Below are 21581 nucleotides of genomic sequence, written 5' to 3' on the forward strand. Positions count from 1 at the left end.
TTTTGGGCTAAGCTCTTACACTAGGCCCTAACAGACCAGAATAAAAATCAAATTGGAGTAATTTATGCTAAAGTTCCAGATTACCAAACCTAAACTAAGTTGTTATCTGACCTTTAGAGAAATGAGAAGAGACAGATAACAGCCAACTTCTCAAAGAGGCCAATTGAAATCTTCAGGTGACAAGTTAATGACATTTTCTCTACTTTAATCTTTACACACACAAAAAGGTAACCAAGGCAGGGTGTACTGGCTCATGTCTGTAATTCCAGCACTTTGGGAGGCTTAGGCAAAATAATTGCTTGAGGCCAGGAGTATGACACCAGCCTGGGCAGCATAGTGAGGCTGAATCTCTTTAAAGAAAAATAAAAATTAGCCAGGTGTGGTGGTGCATACCTGTAGTCCCAGCTACTTGGGAGGCTGAAGTGGGAGGATCAACTGAGCCCAGGAGTTCTAGGCTGCAGTGAGTTATGATTATACCACTACACTGCAGCCTGGACAATAAAGTTAGACCTTGTCTCTAAAAAATAAAACAAAACAAAAGAGTTAGCTTCAAGTAATCTGATGTTAAATAATGTTATTTTTCTATTGTTTTTCCCCCTGTCCCCACCTTACAAGAAAAGTAAACTTTGAAAGGACTACGGACTCATTGTTCACTTCTGCTTCCTTCAGCCCCTCTCTATGAAACCAATCTCTTCTCATTGGAACAGATTCTACTTCATGAAATGAAGCATTGCCTAATTCTAGAATCACAATAAAACCAATTGACATCTTTAAATTCATTGTAATTTCATCCTGTGGCACTACTTTGTGCTATTGTTAACATATATTTTATATGTGTTATAAACTCAAAAATGCACTGTTACGGTTTTTGCATTAAAAAGTCAGGTGGCTTTTAAAGATATCAAGATAAAATATATCCTCTTTTTCTGTTTTCTCACATATTAACCATTTTCAGTGCTCCTCACTCCTTTTTCTAGATCTGGGTTTCCATCTGGTCTCACTTTCAGCATAAAGAATTTCTGTAGCATTATTTTTAGTTCAGTTTCACTGGTGACAGATTCTCTCAGCCTTCATTTATTTGAAAATGTCTTTATTTTGCTTTTATTTTTGAAGGATTTATTTACTAGTTATAGAATTCTATGTATACATTTTATTTCAGCACTTTAAAGATGTTGTCATCCAAAAAGCCGGCATGGTGGTGCATGCCTGTCATCACTACTACTCGGGAAACTGAGGCACAATCGCTTGAGCCCTGGAGTTCCAAGCCGTAGTGGGCAATGATTGTGCCTAAGAATAGCCACTGTGCTCCAGCCTGGAAAACATAGCAAGACAAAAAAAGAAAGAGAAAGAAAGAAAAAAAAGAAAGAAAGAAAGAAAGAAGAAAGAAAGAAAGAAAGAAAGAAAGAGAGAGAGAGAGAGAGAAAGAAAGAAGGAAAGAAAGAAAGAGAAGAGAAGAGAAAAGGAAAGAAAAGAAAGAAAAGAAAAGAAAAGAAAAAAAAGAAAAAAGAAGTTGTCATTCACTATTTCCAGGGCTCACTTGTTTTGGTAAGTCACTATATTATTGGCCTCTCTAGCAATTGTAATGGTTCATGTTTCTCTGGGTACTTTCCAAAATTTCAATGTATCTTTAGTTTCTGGATGTGTGACTATAAAGTCCCTACATGTTGATTTTACAGTGTTTACTCTGCTTTGGGTCTACTAAGCTTCTTGGATCTATATGTTAATATTTTCCAGCAATTTGGGGAAAATTTTGCCCATTATTACGTTGAATATTTTTCTGTTTAATTCTTCCTTTCTTCTCCCTCTACACAACTTTATTAGGATGTTTGATGCTATCTCACAGCCAGTATCTCTTTTATTTTTGTTTTTCATATTTTTTTAATTGGATAATTTTTATTAATCTGTCTTCAAGTTTTGCTGATCTTTCTTCAACTGCTATTCTGTAATTGCCAACCTGCTATGAAAACTTATGCAGTGACTTGTTCCTTTCAGGCCTTATAAATTTCAGTTCTGCAATTTCTATTTTGCTTAAAAAAAAAAAACATTCCAGCCAGTCTCAGTGGCTCAATCCTATAATCCCAGCACTTTGGGAGGCTAAGGCCGGCAGATCACCTGAGGTCAGGGGTTCAAGACCAGCCTGGCCAAGATGATGAAATCCCGTGTCTACTAAAAATACAAAAATTAGCCGGGCATGGTGGCATGCACTAATAGTCCCAGATGCTTGGGAGGCAGAGACAGGAGAATCACTTGAACTTGGAAGGAGAAGGTTACAGTGAGCCAAGATCATGCCACTGCACTCCAGTGCAGTGCACTCCAGTTTGGGTGACACAGCAAGACTCTGTAATAATAACAAAAATAATAATAATAATAATTTCCATTTATCTGCTGAGATTCACTACTGCTAACTTATTTGACCATAAAAATATCATTACCAAATTTTTCTTTAAGTTCTTTAACTACTTTATAGTGGCTGCTTGAATATCCTTATCTGCCAACTGCAGTATCTGGAACTTCTCAGGTTTTGCCTGTTTCTATTGACTGTATTAAAAAAATACATACCCACATATACAAATATATATGTATATGTATATATATTTATCCTATTATCTTATACTGTTTTGTGACTTTTTTAAACAATGTACAGGACATTTTGTATATCAATGACATTCTGATTTGTTATATTCTTCTGATTGATTCCTGTTGATTTTTATTATCAATATTATGAGTTAAATTATCGATAAATTAATCTTGGGGAGGATTCATTTTATACTCTTTCAGGTTGGTCAATCTCATTTTCGTCCTTAGAGTAAATCCATTGTTATAGAACAGAGAAAAGTTATGGTCCTTCTAGGGTTTTGAAGGAATGTCAGAGAGGTTTATGAAGACCCCCTCACTTATTGGAATTCAAACTTCAAACTCTGTGTCTCCTGCAGTGAGTGGCAGCTGAAATATTTGCTCAACTTTTTAAGTCTCTCAATTTTTGCTTTCATCTGGGCTTCTTGAAGTCTTTTCTCCTTTTCCACACAAAAGCAAACAAAATTTAAAGGAAGTTTACATACAGATGTGAAGTCTTATACTTCTATCTGTGATTTTCCTGCTCAAGTGAGCAGCTCTGGTAGCCCCAAAGTTTCCTCTTAAACCTCAAGCCAATAAGATTGCTGCCTTCTGCTGATTCTAACCATCCTGCATTTTTGGGATGGAAGGACTTCCTGGATGTTGGACTTTCTGTGCTAAAAACTGGGAAGTTTCCACAGGGGAAAAGCCACAAAATCTTAGATCTCATCCAATTCAATTCAATTTATTTATTTATTTATTTATTTATTTATTTATTTATTTAGACAGAGTTTTGCTATTGTCGCCCAGGCTGGAGTGCAATAGCATGATCTCAGCTCACTGCAATCTCCCCTTCCCAGGTTCAAGCGTTGCTCTTGCCTCAGCCTCCCAAGTAGCTGGGACGACAGGCACGCACCACTACGCCCAGCTAATTTTTTGTATTTTTACGAGAGATGGGGTTTCACCATGTTGGCCAGGCTGGTGTTGAACCTCAGGGTATTCGCCCACCTCGGCCTCTCAAAGCGCTGGGATTACAGGCGTGAGCCACCTCACCCAGCCTCAATTTCGTCTCTTATTGGCCATATCGTCACACTTTCTGCCTCCTTTCAGTAGCATCCTACTACTTCACATATTTGCTTATTTAATATTTTGTCCAATAGTAATAATTATTACCTACAAAATGGTCAACTTTGTCACTACCAGAAGTAGAATATAAATGATATATTTTACTTTTCCAAGTAATGAGAGATTTGATATCAACAACCAAACTTGTCCAACTTATAACCTCATAATTCACTTCTGGGTGTAGTAACTATCACAAAAATAGTAGTAATAATACAATGTCAAATTATAAGCAAAAAAAAAAAAAACTTTATTCATAGAGAATTGACTTGTAAAACAATTTTCCAACATATTGGCAAGGCCTGTTTGGATGAGTGGATTTGGGTGGTAGTTTTCTTCTTTTACTTTCCAATGTTTTTCAAATGTTAGTATAATTAAATAAATACACACACATATACACATATATGCAGCAACTTGGCATACTGAGGATTTTAAACTGAAGGAAATTGAGAAGACCACAGAAGCAAGAAGATCTTTCTGACCTTCTTCTGCACCCCTTCTCTCCTGAATCAGGCCATGGAAACTATAGAGAATTTCCTTCGCTCCTTTTCCCCTGCAGTGGGCCATAAAACCTAGTTGACCTTCCACTGAAAATAGGTCATAAGGCCCTCAACCAAGGGATGTCCTCCCTGTGCCTGGAGAAAAACAATGTCTTTATCTCTGAAGACACAGAGACATGGAGAAGAATCTGAACTAGCAGGCCTCTCTGAGTTCCCCCATTTATGCCCTTTAGATCATATCTGTTTTTGTCCAGTAATGTTTCTGCACAACTATCCACTTCTTTATTTGATTTAGCATAAAATATACAATTTTCCCTGTTTCTTTTGAGCTTTCATTTCTAAAGGCTCCCATGTCACATAGAATTTGTATGAAATAAATATTTATGCCTTTCTATTGTTAATCTGTCATTTGTTATAGGGATCTCAGACATAAAATTTGTATCGGATAGGAAAATATATTATATATTTCCTCTATAATATATACATATATACTATGTGCAATGAGAAGGTAGCATCATGTTTATCAAATAAAGGTTACTTTATTGATTATAAGTATAATCTTAAAAAGGGGCAAGAGTTTACCTCAAAGTTGATAACAAAAGTAATTACTAGATCTCTTATAAACACCAATGAATATAACACATGTTGTAAAATCTTAGGAAATATATTAAAATACTTTTTTTTCAGACAGCAGTCAGCAAATAAGAAAGATCCACAGAGGCATACTGACACCTACTAGCTATGAATGGCACAATTAAATTTGTACTCAGATACTATAAATAGTAAAATTACCTCTATGGTTTCTCTTAATATGCTGGACAAAATTCCATCATTCAATAGCTTCTAATTTATAGGGGCCATTATAAGACTGATAAGGGATTAGTATATGAATCAGTACTTTGTGAATGTGACAGCATTCATTTTCACAGCTTCGTTATGCTTGACAATAAATAAACTCACTTGAGAAACTTAACACAAAAAAATTGGAAATGTCATGTATGGTAGATATTTTATATAGTGTGCAAAAATTGCAACCTTGTGGCCTGGATGCCTACTTGGTTTGGCCTCCTTTGCATTTTAAAAATTAGAACATTTTATTCTGCAATTCTTATTTCCATTTCTTCTGGCAATTCTGACTGGAACTGAACAGTGGCAGCTCCATTTGGATGGAGTATTGGCACTTCAGTGTGCATGGTTTCCACCACTTTACTGATTCATAAACTGCCAATGTCTTCCATTTATCTCACTTGCTTGGGTTTTGTAGGCACTTAAGTAAATACACACATACACACACACACACACACACACACACACACATCTTAGCCTACAAAAGTGTGATTGAATAATTTCACTAAGAAAATATATAGAGCTATAAACAAACTAGGCTCTTTGGAATAAAAATTGTGAACATAAGAAGGGGCATGACATTAGACAGTCATAGTGATGTAGTCCTATAGTCCCAGCTACTTAGGAGGTTGAAGTAGGAGGATTGCTTCAGCCCACGAGTTCGAGGCTGCAGTGAGCTATGATTGTCCCACTGTACTCCAGGCTGGGTCACAGAGCAAGACCTTGTCACTAAATTAAATAAATAAACAAATAAGTAAAAATCAAAGAAGGGGAAAATACCTTCACGGTGCAGCAAAGAACAAGAGCATTATATAAAAAGGGGATTATGTTTGCTCTGCCTCCATTTTAGTCACAATGGAAAGAAGTCAAAACTGCATTTGAATGTGGTTTTCATTGGATTTTTGTCTAAATGCCTTAAGAATAACTCTGCCTAAGGCAGAATTATGAAGCCATGCAGGATTCCAGGTGGGTCTGTCAGGACTTTTTTGCTTCATTGTCAGGATGCATCTCCTCAGCCCATGTGATGGGCAGCAGCCACTGGTAATTCTTTCTGCTTTCCTTGGATATACTTTAGTGTTAGTGATGGAGTGTGGACCTGATTTTCTCATGTTCTATTCCTATGTCTCCTAGACTCCTTACCCAAGTTCCATTCCTGGAAGACTTTTTTCTTGCAAAAAAGGCACTTATTTTGAAACAACTCCTTGTCACTTTCCACAAAGAGCTAAGATTGTTCCTCATCACTACTACTGCTTCCTGCATACTTTCAATGTGGTATCTTGACTTTAAAGAACCATGAAACACTCCCCCACTTTATTTTTCATGATTAATGAAAGGGATTTCCTCTGTGGTGGATGAACTGGTTTGGCATAAAGGGGGTATCTTCTACATATTAGTATCTATAGTAACATTCTAGGCAAGAAAGAAGCATACTAATACCACTCATCCAAACTAAAAACTTTCGGGATTATTACCAAGAACAAAAAATCAACCCCCCACATGACAAACAGAAATCCCTTTGCATTGTTAAATGACCTCCTGATTATACCCCTCTGCCCACCCTTCCTTCAAAAAACAGCCCTCCTATTTTGTGATGTGTAATCTTTATTCAAGCAGCTATCCCCACGCAATTACATTTGTCAAACTTCAAGCAGTTTTGTGTCTGTGCATTTTCACTGGGGTTGGAGAACTGACAAGGGAGGAATGAATCTTGAGTAGCATAGAATTTCTCCATGTCCTTTAATTCTATCAATGTTTTCTTCTCTCATTCAAATTGAATTCACCAAATCTGTCTGCCTACAGGATGACTTACTGAGACACTCACACCTCCCCCACTGTCTGCTCCCCCAGCTCTAACAATGCAACCATGATTTCTAAGACTGTACGAGTTTAAAATAAGGATTCTTGGCAGATCTGACGACCACAAACCTTCTGTCATTGATGATGTAGCTTCTGGGCTTGCTAAAGCATCTCTTGTCCCCATGAATGCCAGTCCTTGCATGCTGGTGTGTGCAGTAAAGGGTTAAAAAGCTTTGGAAAGACACCACGCATGTGTTAATTCGTGCTGCAGCAGCGTGCATCACTTCCACTTTGACCTCATAGTTAATCTGCGTGATAGTTAATCACGCAGAGTCTCTAGTGATTTTTTTCCTATTTATTTTAAATACACACACCCACAGGGCTCTGCCCCCTGTAAAAGAAAAAAAATCAAAACAAACAAATAAATAACCCCAAAGAGATGGACCCAGGGGAGAACGCGTAAGTGTGAGGGGCATGAGTATACACGAGTGTGCGTGTCTTTCCCTCTCCCTTATTTGTCTCCGTATGAGTCTCTCCTTGTACCCTCCCCCTGCCTCGATGATATTACTCCCCCAGACTTGGAAGCCGCTGCCAGAGTGACGCTTTGATGGTATCTGCAAGCGTTTTTGCTGATCTTATCTCTGCCCCCTGAATATTAATTCCCTAATCTGGTAGCAATCCATCTCCCCAGTGAAGGACCTACTAGAGGCAGGTGGGGGGAGCCACCATCAGATCATAAGCATAAGAATAATACAAAGGGGAGGGATTCTTCTGCAACCAAGAGGCAAGAGGCGAGAGAAGGAAAAAAAAAAAAGCGATGAGTTCGCCAAATATATGGAGCACAGGAAGCTCAGTCTACTCGACTCCTGTATTTTCACAGAAAATGACGGTGTGGATTCTGCTCCTGCTGTCGCTCTACCCTGGGTAAGATGTGCCCTTTTTGGCGTCGTTTTGTTCTGAAGAGGTGGGGGGAAGGTGTGGGGAGGGGTAACTCGGGAGACCACCCAGATTTAAAACACTCTCCTAGGATGTGCGGCTTTACAATTTAGGAGAGAGCGAATATATGGGGCGGGGACTGGAGGGAGGAAAGTGGAAGGTCACTTTCGTTAATGTATTCATTTATTGGATTTTATTTTATTTTTTGTTTGGTTTTAGAGTGGAAAAGGTAACCTCATAAAGACTAAATATTTAGGGAGTAGCATTTTGACATTATTGCAATCTGATATCGGAGTGGGCTGTGCTGATACACGCCGGCATTTGAGGCCGTGTTGCAAGCATTTTGGGTGGGGGTCTGATGGAGAAATTTACAAATGGGTCCTGGCGCACACCGGAGAGATATGTGTGAGGGAGCTGGGGGGAGGGGCGGCGGGCGGCCCTGTTCCTGTGTACTAAGGCATCGCATGCTTCTGCACCTGGCATTCTTAAGGTCAGTCAGCCAGGTTTTGCATCCAGTCCCATTGACCCAACAGCCAACTACCCGTGTGCAAACATGGTTCAGCACCAGGGACAGCAGTCCTGGTGAGGGCCAAAGGGATAGAGGCTTGTCTAACCTGATAGAACGTCTCTAAATATACTCAGGGCATCCACAGAGTCAGAGAGAAGGCCAATGAAGCCACGGGGCACTAATGAAATATACAGATCCTGATCTGTTTACCTCTACTCCCTCCTTGATATGGGAAGGGGACTATTGGGCATAGGGTGGAGAACGTAGTTAAATGATTGCATAGGGGAATATACGTCTGGAAAAGAGTTGGCCTTGCTGCAGTGTTGGAAAATATGCTGAACCAGGTGAATGTGATGCCATAATCGTGAAGTACACATTAATGTTTTAAAACCTTGCTGCACTGAATAGAAAAAAAAAGGTAAGGCTGGAGACTGGACTCCTGAAAACCCTGAGAATGTGTATGCCCTGAAGTGCCCGGCATTTAAATTTACTTGAACTTTCCTGAGCTAAGAGTATTAGAGGAGCAACCATCCATGCAGCCTAGCTGACTATTCGTCTACCTACCTAAGCACCTTCCCCGCTCTCCAAGCTTTCTAACTAGGACCAAAGCCATGTTAGAGGTCCACTATTTACATTACTTGCATTCTTCTATACTTTCATTTTGAAATAAAGTTCTATAAATATACCTCTCATATCCTACCAATATAAAGAAAGACACAAACAAAAACTAGCTATAGAAAATATCAAGACAGTGCCCTAACATTTTTTTGTGGGTCGACAATCTTACATGGTAGTTGTAACAAAAGCAGCTGAAAAGGATGGAGGTTAAACTAGTTTTTAAAAAAATTATTGAAACTAGGCAACTTCTCTGGCCCCCTCTTCTGTAAGATGGGTAATAAGACAGATAGATTTATGATAAAGAGACCCAGGCAAAACAAAGAGTGAAAGCCTCACTTTGGAGTTTCTAAACAGAGAGAGGGTCTGCTTAACTCTTCCAGCACTTTTTGTACCTTACTAATTTACTATAAAAATAGAATGTATTTTCACTAGGATTATAACATTTCAGTAGCTTTCTCAGAATATGAGAGGGCCTTTTACTGGAAACAGTCTTATATGTAATACAATTTGGTGAAATCCTGAAAAAAGTAATTTTTTGATTCAAAATTTGAATTCATTTTTATACTTAAGGTTGTGGATAGCTATTAATTTGTTTCGGAAATTAGAAAACAGTTACTTACTAAAAGAAAATATCTTTCCCCTATTTCTACCATTAATGAAACCTGTGGATTAAAATCTAGACAAGACACAAGGGAATGTCTTTCTTTTTGACTCATCTCCATCTTAGTAAACAGTTGTCTAACTTAATAGATAAAATATTATGTATTTTCTCTCCAGTAACCCTATTTTAACCTAAACATGTTTAACTTTACTATAGTTTATAAGAAAATAGTATTTAAGATGTCTTCTTGTTGCCACAGCCCCACCTTTTCCATTTCAATGTCTTATACAAAGTAAATTTGATGATACATTTTAATTTTCAATTTGTACCAGACTATCTTAGATGAGTTTTTTAAAAGAGCTCTATAAATATGAGCTATCTGTAATGGAAACTCCCAAAAGTGGTAATTTTTACATTCTCTCATAGTGACAGAGAATGGAGTCATTGCTGTTTGGTGCAGAGAATGTGATCAGAGTTTCAGTCTGCTGCAATCCCATAAAAAAAGTCATTTGAATTGTTGAGTAGGACTGGAGGTAAATAGAAGCTTTGATTTATAAAGTTGATCCTGAGGAAGGACAATAAATAACTGGGAAATATTTGAGACATGAGGAGTCCATAGGAAGTGGTACTTATGAAATAATACTTTTGTGGTAGACAGTAGTAGCAGAACCACCTAGAAAGTTAAAGATAAATAAAAAAAAAATTGGTTTTTTATTTATGTAACTCAAAAGATTGTTTTCGCCCTCATTAAGTGACAAAATTTATTAGTCTATGTCTTTACAAAAGTGAAACAAAGAGAAAAATAAAGCATCGTAGTGAGAATATTAATAACTAATATCTCTTCTTATAAGTGAAATAGTTAATTTCTGAAACCCAAAATTTTTGAAACATTCACATAGCTTGTGCTGTCATAAAAAATAACCTGGGGAACTTACTAAAATGGAGATTCCTACACTATACACTGAATGCTTTTGAATCATTATGTCTGGGGAGAAAAGGAATATTCAACAGGAGTATTTTCAACAAGTACCCTAGACCTCACTTTGAAGAAAAGTGGTCTATACTTTTCTGATTTCCAAAAGTTTATCATCATATTTAATATTTAAAGGTGTTTTGATTATTCATACTTTATTATTCAGTTGGGCAGAATGAATCAATTTAACTTCAATCTTTTATTTGTATGTAAATCATTGAGAATATTATACATATAACAAAGCATAAGGAATAGTATAAAGAATACACCAACATTAGTTATAAGAAGATATTGGCTCCAAAAAAATAAAACATATATACATATATAAATGTGTATGTGATTATATTGAAAAACTATATATATACCACATATATATGCATAGAGATTTTAAAACAAATCTTATAACTTTATAAACTTTTTCAGTGTAATTTTATTCCATCTCAGAGTAAAAATACCCTAAAGGGAAAAAAATATATAGAAAAACATAAAAAATAATTTAGAGTAAATAAGAATAACTGAAACATAAAATGTTTTTATTTTATTAGAATAAAACAAGATTTTGTAATATACTTAGAGTGACAAATAATTATTTTTCAAGGATAAATTGAGCAGAAATAAAATGGACTGAATTTTTGATGATCTGTCTAAACTTTACTTTTAAGTGCTCATTCTGAATTTTTAAAAAGAAAATACAGTTAATGGTTTATACATATTTTCTATTTTTATCTGCTACCTAAACAAAGATGCTTTTGATGATGTTTCTTATGAGCTGCTAAAGTGTTTTTATTCCATAATTTTATTTTACATGTTTCTTTAACTGGCTAGGACTATGCATGTAGAAAAAAATATTTTGATTCTTCAATATACCCTTATTTGTTTACAGAATTAATCTCTACAGACAAGCTTGTCATTTCCTGTCTTTCTAAATGCCCCATCTGGTATCCACCAGAAAAATCTTTATTTCCTCAGCGTACTAAATTGCTTTAGTTGTAGACAAAACCCTTCAAATAGTCTATCCTGAGGTAGACTGGGTAGACTATTTGAATGGTAGGGACTCTACCTTTCAAATTCAAAAGGTTACCCTGAGGCCATTAACCTGAAAAAAAAAATAAAGAAAAACAGAACGTAAATACTCATCACCCAGTATTTCCCAGAACCCAGTCACCCACTACTACCTAAACAAAACACCTGAATTGTAGGCAGAAGTTGAAAATTGGCTTGTAATTTAAATAATGAGTTATATAAATGTCTCTTTCACGTCCTAGATTCATTTAGATCAGGTAATTTCCTCAAAATAATTGATTTAAAGCATATATATTTTAATGATAGAGGTCTCTGTTCTATACTTCAAAAAATTGTTTCATTCCAAGGATTTCCGTTCAGATTGGAAGGAAGTTAAGACTAATTTTAGATACTGTATCTCTTTGCTATAAATATTATGTTACTAGGGTCCTGGCTACCTCCCTACTACAATTTCCCAGCCATTCCAAGACAGGCTTTTCAGTTTAGGTACAAGTAGGCTTTACTGGAATTATACATACTTATCGTTCTCCAAACACTTCTGCCAAATTGGCTGATTAAGAAGATTGAATTATAATGAAAAGTTATAATCAGAGTAGTTTGGAGATTGTTTGACCACTGTGGGTGTCGGCACAATTCAAATGCTTAAAGATTCATGATTTCAATTGAGATGAATATTCCAGATGTGATACTTTATTCAGGTAGACATGCAGAAGACAATGCGTCTTTCTGCTGCCAGGGGATCAGACACCTATGTGACCTCTTCAAAGCCAGAAACCAAATAGCCATAAGATAATATCAATTTTATGCGCTGCTTGTGTCATGTTATACATACACACTGAATCAAATAATACACACAAACACAAACACACATACACAGACACAATCCTGTGACTCCGCAAAGTATTTATCATCAACCACATTTGAGAGACTAGGAAACCAAGATTATAGATAGATTAAATGACTTACTTAAACATAATAGATTAGAAGCAACATACTATAATAAGTATGAATGTGGATATAAGTAAACATGTATACATATATAATGATGTTTATATATGTGTATACATATGAATCATAATAACTTGGGTTTTTAGATCTGTCAATATTATCTTATGTGTTTTTTTAATCAGTTTGGGGTCTCAATCCATCAATAGTGTTCCTAGAAGTGTAACAGGTAGACTGGATGATCTATAAGTTATTTACTAGTTTTAATATTCATGATTCTCTCATTCTGTCTTCAGTTAATAGAATCTACAACAGATACTTTACATCCATTCAGCCCACTGAATAAATCAAAATGTCGAATCTATAGAAGGACATGGTTTAAGATACTCAGTCTCCACCAATAACATCACTATTACATTATGTTTTTTTGTTTTGATTGAAAGGTCTAGACAGAAATGCTTAGCAGCAGTCTGAAATTAGGTTTTTTTTTTAATATAAGAGCATATTAAATGGAATTATTTAGAGCTGAACAAATATTATGTTTAGAATATATATTTCCTCATTGTTTGTGTCTATGTAAGTAAAGCATAGTTTAATCTGCACTTAATTATTCATCCAGAAACTTAACTATAGCATGTCATTCCATTTTTAAAGAGGAGATCTTGCTTTTTATTGAGCAAATCTATAGGAAACTTGCTCAATGTTGTCCTCCAGTTTTCTTACAAAAATTCTTAGAAAAGTGGAAGACAAAAGTGAAGCAACGATACTCAATATTAAAGTAGAAATAATATTACAACTTCATATTTGGATATGTATAGTTTTAATATATAGATATTCAAAGATGACATATTTTTAATCACCCCAATCATACTAGCAACTGGTTAATTAATGTTACTATGTGGTAACAACAGAAAAGCTCTTATGTTTTAATTTCTAGAGTAATAAGAAGCTATAATTTCTAGAAAGTAATAGGGATTTTACAGTTTTACAGAAACGTTTGCATTCACAGTTTTATTCTCTCAGTAGACTCATGAATTAGATGAAAAAGATAATATTTTCTTCTGACAACTGTAGAAAATGAGATATTGAGAGATTAAGGGACTTCTTCAAGGATCCTTTACTATTGGCTGTAGAACAGAGTTAAGACCCCCTCCTTGAATTCATAGCGCAATACATCACATTGCACAAGTATAGTCACCCCCCGGCTTTTTTTATCTAAATGTAAGAAAATACTTTGGTTGTTTAGAGATGTAAAAGTCCTCTCTAACTTGCATTACTGGGGAGGGTTATTTCCCATTCATTTGTCCCCCATACTAGAGAATAAATTTCCTTTAAAAAAGGAAATAAAAAGCTCCTTTCAAGTTACACATTAGTGGTTTAGGGTAAAAATAAAACTTAACTCTAAATCATATTAATCCCTACAGTATTATGATATAAGAGCACAAACTATGGCAATAATTCTATATTATTATAAAAATCATTGTATAACTCTGCATAGATAAAATACCATGTAAATGCTAAATAAGTAGCACTGATACAACACTCTCCACCCATTCATAAAGAAAACCATGTAAGTACCAAACAACATAATCGTGGAGAAAACAAGGGTTGTTTTAAAGCAAAGATCCTTTGTTATAATTGAAACCCTGCCATGAACCCAAGTGTTGCTGTAAAGCCAAAGTCTACCTAGTAAGACAAATATACAGTGTGTATTTGCTTAAATACATCTAAAGAAATTGCAGAACTTACTGTATATTTATATAAATAAAATGGCAAAAACAAGCTGAATATAATATGTCATTATAATCTTGATAGGAAAAAATGATTGATGCTTTCACGTGTTCTTTTTTTGCTGGTTATCAGTTCTTTTTTATAAATTGCTTTTGAAAACACACTTGAGATACATAATTGAGGAAAGCAACTCTAAACATAAAAGTAGAAATTAATGTATAATTTCTTAATTAATTTATGAAACGAATATCATTTGAGCCAATTCTGGGATTTTTGCATTATAGAGAATACAGGCCAAATTTCCCCAGGAATTTTCTAACCACTCTTGTTTAGAGAATGCTAAGAGGTTGTAAAAGTTTTTGTATTTGTAGTAGAGATAAGAATTGGCCTCTTAGTCTTTTTATGGTGGACATTTAAGAGTGAATTACCTGATTTCCGTAGGCAGAAGTGGAGCTACCTCCCACTATGGTAGGAGATAAGTAATTGAACAGTTCCTTCTATTGCTAAACAAATAACCCTCTTCCACAAGTACTCCTCTGTCATTTAATCCTTAAACTTCTATCACCTAGCTGCGAGGAGGGGGAAGGAAAGAAAAGGCACTGAGGGTTGTTTTACTAATATTTTATAGAAAGTTCTATTCCTTCTTAGCAGTGTACCACATCTATATTAAATGAGAATATGATGTTTGTCATCTTCTTTTCTCAGTATCGGGAAATTAGTCATGATAACATAGGGAAAATTTTGTATAACATTGTGTTCCCTGTGCAATGTGTTTCACATATCCACTGATTAACTCACCTTTTTGAAGTTTTTGCTCAGAGCTCACCTTCTCAATAAAGCCTGCACCTACCACTCAGTGTAATATTGCAAACTCCACTCCACCTTGTACTCCTAAGTCCTCTAATCCTCTCTGCTTTACTTTGCCCTAGTACTTACTTATAGCCTTTAGTAATTAATCAGAAAAAAAAATGTTATTTATTGGTTTATTCTTTTTACTTTTTGATTTTCTATCTCTCTCAGCTAGAAGCCAGGACCCACAACAGAAGAGATGCCATTGATACAACTCACCTTTCATAGCATGCCTAGCCTCTAACGGATGTTCAATAATTATATGCTTAATTAAGTAATAAAAATTGCACTCATTTTCCCCCAAATTTTATTCTTTTCCTAAAAAGGAAATATTTTCAACTTTTTTTACAGTATCTCACTGTAAGTCAGCATATATGGCTGTCAGGAAAAAAAAATAAAAGAAAATGAACAAACAAACCGTTTCCACAGCATAGTATACTTGTTAATAGCATAAGCTCTTCAGACACACTTGATCAGGGTTCAGTTTGATGACCCTCAGTCAACCAGTTTCACTCTGTCTTTTCATATTAAAAAAGGAAGATTTGGGAAGCTGAGGCAGGAGGATCGCTTGTGCCCAGGCATTCCAAACTGGCCTGGGCAACATGGTGTGACCCTATTTCAAGAAAAAAAAAAAAATTAACTGGGTATGGTAGTGCACGCCTGTGGTCCTAGCTTCTTGGGAGGCTAATTCAGGAGGATCACTTCAGCCCAGGAGTTCAAGGCTGCAGTGAGCCATGTTTGCACCACTGTACTCAAGCCTGGGTGACAGAGTGAGACCCCGTCTCAAATAAAAAGGAAGATAATAATTTTTCTTAAGTTTATTTTGAGTAGGAATTGATATAATACATATTAAGGGGCACATAGTTAGTGACCTTTACATGGTGTTATTTTTGTTACTCTTATTGTTATTGTTTAATACAGGACATTATTTATCCCCTGATATATCACCAGAGGCACAAGTACGCTCCCCATCCCTGCTAAACTCTGAACTTTGTGGGAGTGTAGAAGAGGGATTTTTTTAAATACAACTTTTCTAATTCTTCAGTTTCTTGCTTTGACTTGTATGAGATAAGCAAATTGGGTAGAGGTCCCTGAATTTTGAGAATGCCTGTGTAAACATTGAACTTAGTAATATCTCTAACAATGTGAAATAGCTTCTATTTAAATGAGAAAATACATCCTGTCATACAAGACTCCTTCCTGAAGATAATTTTGTCACTGTATGTAAAGAAGGATATTTTCCCAAAGACATTGTAAAACATTATCCCTGAGTTGCTAGGCAAATTTATTCAACTCATTATTCAGAGCAAACTCAGGTTGCTACTCTTGATGGTCAGGTCTATATTGGACAGCATGAAGTGGAAGCAGTGGTTGTGGAATCTGGAGAGTAATGAGGAAGGAAACAATCTAAGCTGGTATTTTGCTATTCAGGGTCATGACTAACTTTTCATTTTTCTTTGTGCCTCATACATCTGATCATATAACAAAATTCAACATCATCTGTCACCTGGGTCACTACAACACTGCCCAAAATACCTTTCTGAATATGTTTTTGCTACCTTCCAATTCACTCACCACATAATAGACTTTTCCCCTGCAACTATTTTTAAATAAAGACATAATATAGATTCAATAAATTATTCAGAATTTAATATACAGTTAGATGAAGTGTTTTCCAAATGTATGCAGTATTATAACAACTACCCCTGTGTGTGTGTGTGTGTGTGTGTGTGTGTGTGTGTGTGATGTTTCTATCACATCAGTATGTTTTATTGTGCTTCTTTAATAATCATCATTCTTCTTCTCTCCAATCCCTGCTTGCCCCTGGTAGCCTCTTTTCCAATTTCTTTCACCATAGATTTATATTTTTCTGTTGCACAACTTCATAATAATGAAATTAACAATGTGCTTTACCTTTTTAACCCAGCTTCTTTTGCTCAACATAATATTTCTGAGATATAATACTTATGCATATGAGTTCTTTTTTATTATTATGAATTCCATGGTATGAATTACAGTGCATTTACCCAGTATCCCCTTGATGCTTCTAGTTTGAGGCTAATTGAAAACAAACTGTCATGAATGTTATTGTACAAGTGTTGCTGTAGGCATCTGTTATTATTCTTGATGAAATGTCTAGGATGTAGCATAGATGTATTTTATTATAAGAAACTTAGCAAAACACTATTTCAATGTATGACAGTTTAAGTTACTTTAAGTCATTGCAACCTTAGATATCATCTGTCTTTGCATTAGTTATCTATGTCTACATTACCAGTTATCCAAAAGTTAGCAGTTTAAAATAAGAAACACGTCTTATTTTGCAGTGTCTGAGGAGCAGGAATCCAATAATGGGTAGCTTGGTAATTGCAGTTTAGGATCTCTCGTAAGATTGCAGTCAAGTTGTTTAGCAGGGTCCTGGCCATCTTAAGGTGCTAGAAAATCAACTTTCATGCTCACTCCAATGTGGCTATTAAAAGGAAGTTCCCGTTTCTTGTCTTTTGAGCTCTACATGGGGTTGGAGAGTTGGAGAGAGGAGACAGAGAGGATTGGGGGAGGAAAGGAGGAGGGAGGAAGGGAGTGGGAGAGAGGGCTTTCAAGATGAAAGCCATAGTCTTTACAAGAAAGTGTCAAAAATTATACACCATCGCTTCTGTCATATGCTGTTGGTGATACAGACCTATCCTGATGTATAATGGGAGGGATCTACATGAAGCTGATTCCTACTTAGTAGGAAGTAGCTTCTGCTACTAAAACAAAACACCATAGAATACATGGCTTATAAACAACAGAAATGTGTTTCTCACAGTTCTAGAGGCTGGAAGTCTGAGATCAGAATGCCACCATGGCTGGGTTCTGGTGAGGGCCTTCTGGTTTGCAAATTGCTCTTCTCATTGTATCCTCACAAATAGTGTTATGCCACATTAAAATTAATCAGATCCCTTTAAACACTGGGTTTATTTTCCTGTCACCTTTACAGGCATTACTTTCAGAGCATCTTACTATATATATATATATATATATATATATATTTTTTTTTTTTTTTTTTTTTTTTTTTGAGACGGAGTCTTGCTCTATCGCCTGGGCTGGAGTGCAGTGGCTTGATCTCCGCTCACTGCAAGCTGCGCCTCCCAGGTTCATGCATTCTCCCACTTCAGCCTCCTGAGTATCTGGGACTACAGGTGCCTGCCACCATGCCCGGATAATTTTTTACATTTTTAGTAGAGACGAGGTTTCACCATGTTAGCCAGGATGGTCTCAATCTCCTGACCTCCTGATCCACCCGCCTTGGCCTCCCAAAATGCTGGGATTACAGGTATGAGCCACCGTGCCCGGCCACCCCGACCTATTATTTTTTAAGCATGTCATCTTCAATACAGAATTTTCATCAGTGTGATGGCTCAGGATTTGAGATATAATTTTGTTATAGATATTTTCCATTTAAAGTTTAAAAAGTGAGGTCATACATGGAACGATATTTAACTAAGTGAATTATTGTATTTTAAAGCCTGAAATAATAAAAGTAACTTTGTCTAGATAAACAAAAGTCTACAACCTTTCAGTCACATTGCATGTCACTTCATAAAAAAATCTTTTATATATTAATAATTAAATTTATTTAATTTGTTTAAATTAAATAGATTAATATTATATAATTAATAATTTAAAAATGAAATAAAATGAACTCAGTGTCATAAAAACAAAAATATGTGAGTACTCACATACTCCTCAAAATATCTATTACAGTTGATTGTAATTTTCCAGGTACTCTTGTGGTCAACAGGCCATTTACAGTTTCCATGGTCCATGATGGAAGTCCTCTTGGGAGACTGACTTCCCTTTGCACGTGCAGCTCAATTTCTCTGATGACCAAGCATCACAGTAAATTCTAGAAACTCAAATGAGGATGGAAAGATTTCTTGATTCAATTTTAGTCTCCTTTACTTCAGGTTGTAAGTGATATATACCAAGCAGATTCTTAACAGTTGTTTAAGTTTCAATAAAATATATCAGAGAAGTGCACATGCACGTAAAGCACAAAATTAGAGATTGTAGTTTATACTCTGATTCAGGTGACCTACACTATATTATACTCTCCTGAATTCCTATTTATTTTGTTAATCACGTTTTATTAATTCCTACCCACTATGTTGCTAGCACCCTGCCAGCTGCTGAAGATATAGTGCTGAACAAGGCAAACATAATCCTTGCTCTTGTAAAGCCTATATTCTAGGAGAAGGGCATAATTTAAAAAAATAATATATATAATATGATAATATATAACACTGCTTTTATAAATTTACTTGTAGACAATGTCATACCTATGTATTTATTTACTTCCCTTATTGATTCTGATACAAGGTAATTGTGTACCCAGATATATATCTTATACTCAAACATTATTTATTTTTATTTTATTTACTTATTTTTATTGAGACAGGGTCTCACTCTGTCGCCCAGGCTGGAGTGCAGTGGTGCGATAGCTCACTGCAGCCTCTGTCTCCTGGGTTCAAGCAATTCTCCCACCTCAGCCTCCTGAGTAGCTGAGATTACAGGGGTGCACCACCATGCTCAGCTAATTTTTGCATTTTTAAACCCATAAACGCACATGATTCTGTTCATTTTTCCCCTGAAATAAGCTAACATAAGATACCATTTGGCCCTTGTTGAGCTCTGAAGTACTGTGTTAAATGTAGAATGAATATAAATGCAAGGTGGACAAATTCCTTCCCGCCTACTTCCTGTCTTCCTGTCTTCAATAAATGTTTATTGAGTTTCTAATACTTGCATGCCACTGTACTAGGAAATAGATCTTGATGTCTGGGGGAAAGCAGACAGTAAACAAACAAACTAAATAAGCTTCAAATTGTGATAGTGTTGAGGAAATAACTTACAAGTGTGGTGTGTTGAAAATAATCAAATAAATTTTACTTTGCATATACTGGCCAGGGAAGGCAATTATGAATAATGGATAAGAAGTTGAGACTATGAGAGAAGGAAAGGAGCCCAGCATGAAAATGTTGAAGGGAAGACCATTATCATCATAGGTAACAGCAGGTACAAGGATCCCCAAAGAAATAAGCACTTGGTGTAATTTAAGAATGAAAGGAAGGTCCAGGTGACTGGAAGATTGATTGAGAATGAAAAAGTCTAGGGGAAGAACTTGGGAGGCAGAAAGCTATTTCCTAATGTACGGTCTCAAAACCATTGTAAGTAATTTGAATTGCATTCTAGGTAAGGAGTTTGGATAAGGGGTAAGACTTCATATACTAATACCATCAGTTTCATTCTTAGGGAAAAGTGTACCTATATGATCTGGGGAATGGTGAGGGTTGCGTTTTACCTGCCAGTTTTCAGTTGCTTGGCAATTAACTCAAGTGCTGACTTTTAGCTTCATCAGAGTTATATAACGTGTTGTTCTACATCCTACTGCAAAATCTTAGCGAGACCAAGAACCAGTTATTGATTTTACTATTATGTCAATGATTTAAAACATACTTATTTTATGGCATTGTAATGAAATAATTGCATTATATTTAACTAATGTGTGTAAATAGATTTGTTTTTACAGAGCTAAATACTTTGCATCTAATAAATGGCAAAGACTATTGCTAAATTCCAACTTAATTATTATGATTTGTGCATTAATTGAATGTTTAAAATTTTAAGGGATTCTCATAGAGACCATTGACAAAAGTATACTTATTTCCTACCGATAAAATTTGTTATTGAACTTAATCTGTGTATAAATCCAGGCAAATAGTAAAAAAGAGATTAAAAATTGTATACAAAATTAATAGGAAACCAGAGTACTAGTTCATTAATGAAATTTTATTTCTCCCAAAAAATTTTTTAAAATTTTAAGCCCAATTATCTCATACTTTATTATTAGGAAATTTCCACAAATATCTAATGGCAGAGAATATTTTTTAAAGTTTAATGATTAGGTTACAGAATAATAGTTGTATTTTTAAGTTATCATACAGCATAATTGACCTCTTCGTGTATACTTACATACATTTTAACACATATATTTGTTCTCTTGAGTACCATAAGCACAGCCCAAATCAGTATTCTTGGTTTGAGTGGTACTTATGGTACTCACAAGAACAAAACAAAAGCAAACAACAACAACAACTACAAAATCCTTTACTCCTTAAAACTGATCTGTTACTCATCATTGAAGATTTTTCTTTCAAGAATATAATTAGAGACACATACAGTTCATTTAGCATAATACTTTTGAGATTCATCTAAGTTGTTGATGTGTCAAATAAGCACAGGAAAAGAGGTTCAACATCATTAGCCATTACCCATTAGGCAAATGCAAATTAAAATCATAATATGATATCACCACACATCTATTAGAATGGGCAAAATAAAAACCACTCTAGCAAGTCCAAGTGTGGTGAGGATGTGAAGCAACTCGAACTACATAGCTAGTATGAATGAAAATGGTATAGCTACTCAGGAAAACAGTTTAGGATTTTCTTATAAGGTTAAACATACACCTAACATATTACACAGTAATTCCATGCCTAAATATTTACATGGGATAATTAAAAACTTATCTTACAG

General features: G+C 35.4%; 1 protein-coding gene across 15 annotated transcripts in view; it reads left to right on the plus strand.

Annotated features, from left to right (window-relative positions):
• Nucleotides 7101–21581, plus strand: part of GABRG2 (gamma-aminobutyric acid type A receptor subunit gamma2) — an 88075-nt gene continuing 73594 nt past the window's right edge. For 9 of the 15 annotated variants that reach the window (NM_001375349.1, NM_001375343.1, NM_001375344.1 and 6 more), the window contains exon 1: nucleotides 7101–7742. Coding sequence is in view for 12 of the 15 variants with exons in the window: in NM_001375343.1 (NP_001362272.1) it covers nucleotides 7636–7742 (107 nt within the window). In the remaining 3 variants the exon portion in view is untranslated. The remainder of the gene's footprint in view (nucleotides 7743–21581) is intronic. The other 6 variants (NM_001375346.1, NM_001375345.1, NM_198903.2 and 3 more) reach the window with 4 other exon arrangements.

Source organism: Homo sapiens, chromosome 5 (genome assembly GCF_000001405.40).
Source record: "Homo sapiens chromosome 5, GRCh38.p14 Primary Assembly".
Lineage (NCBI taxonomy): Eukaryota > Metazoa > Chordata > Mammalia > Primates > Hominidae > Homo > Homo sapiens.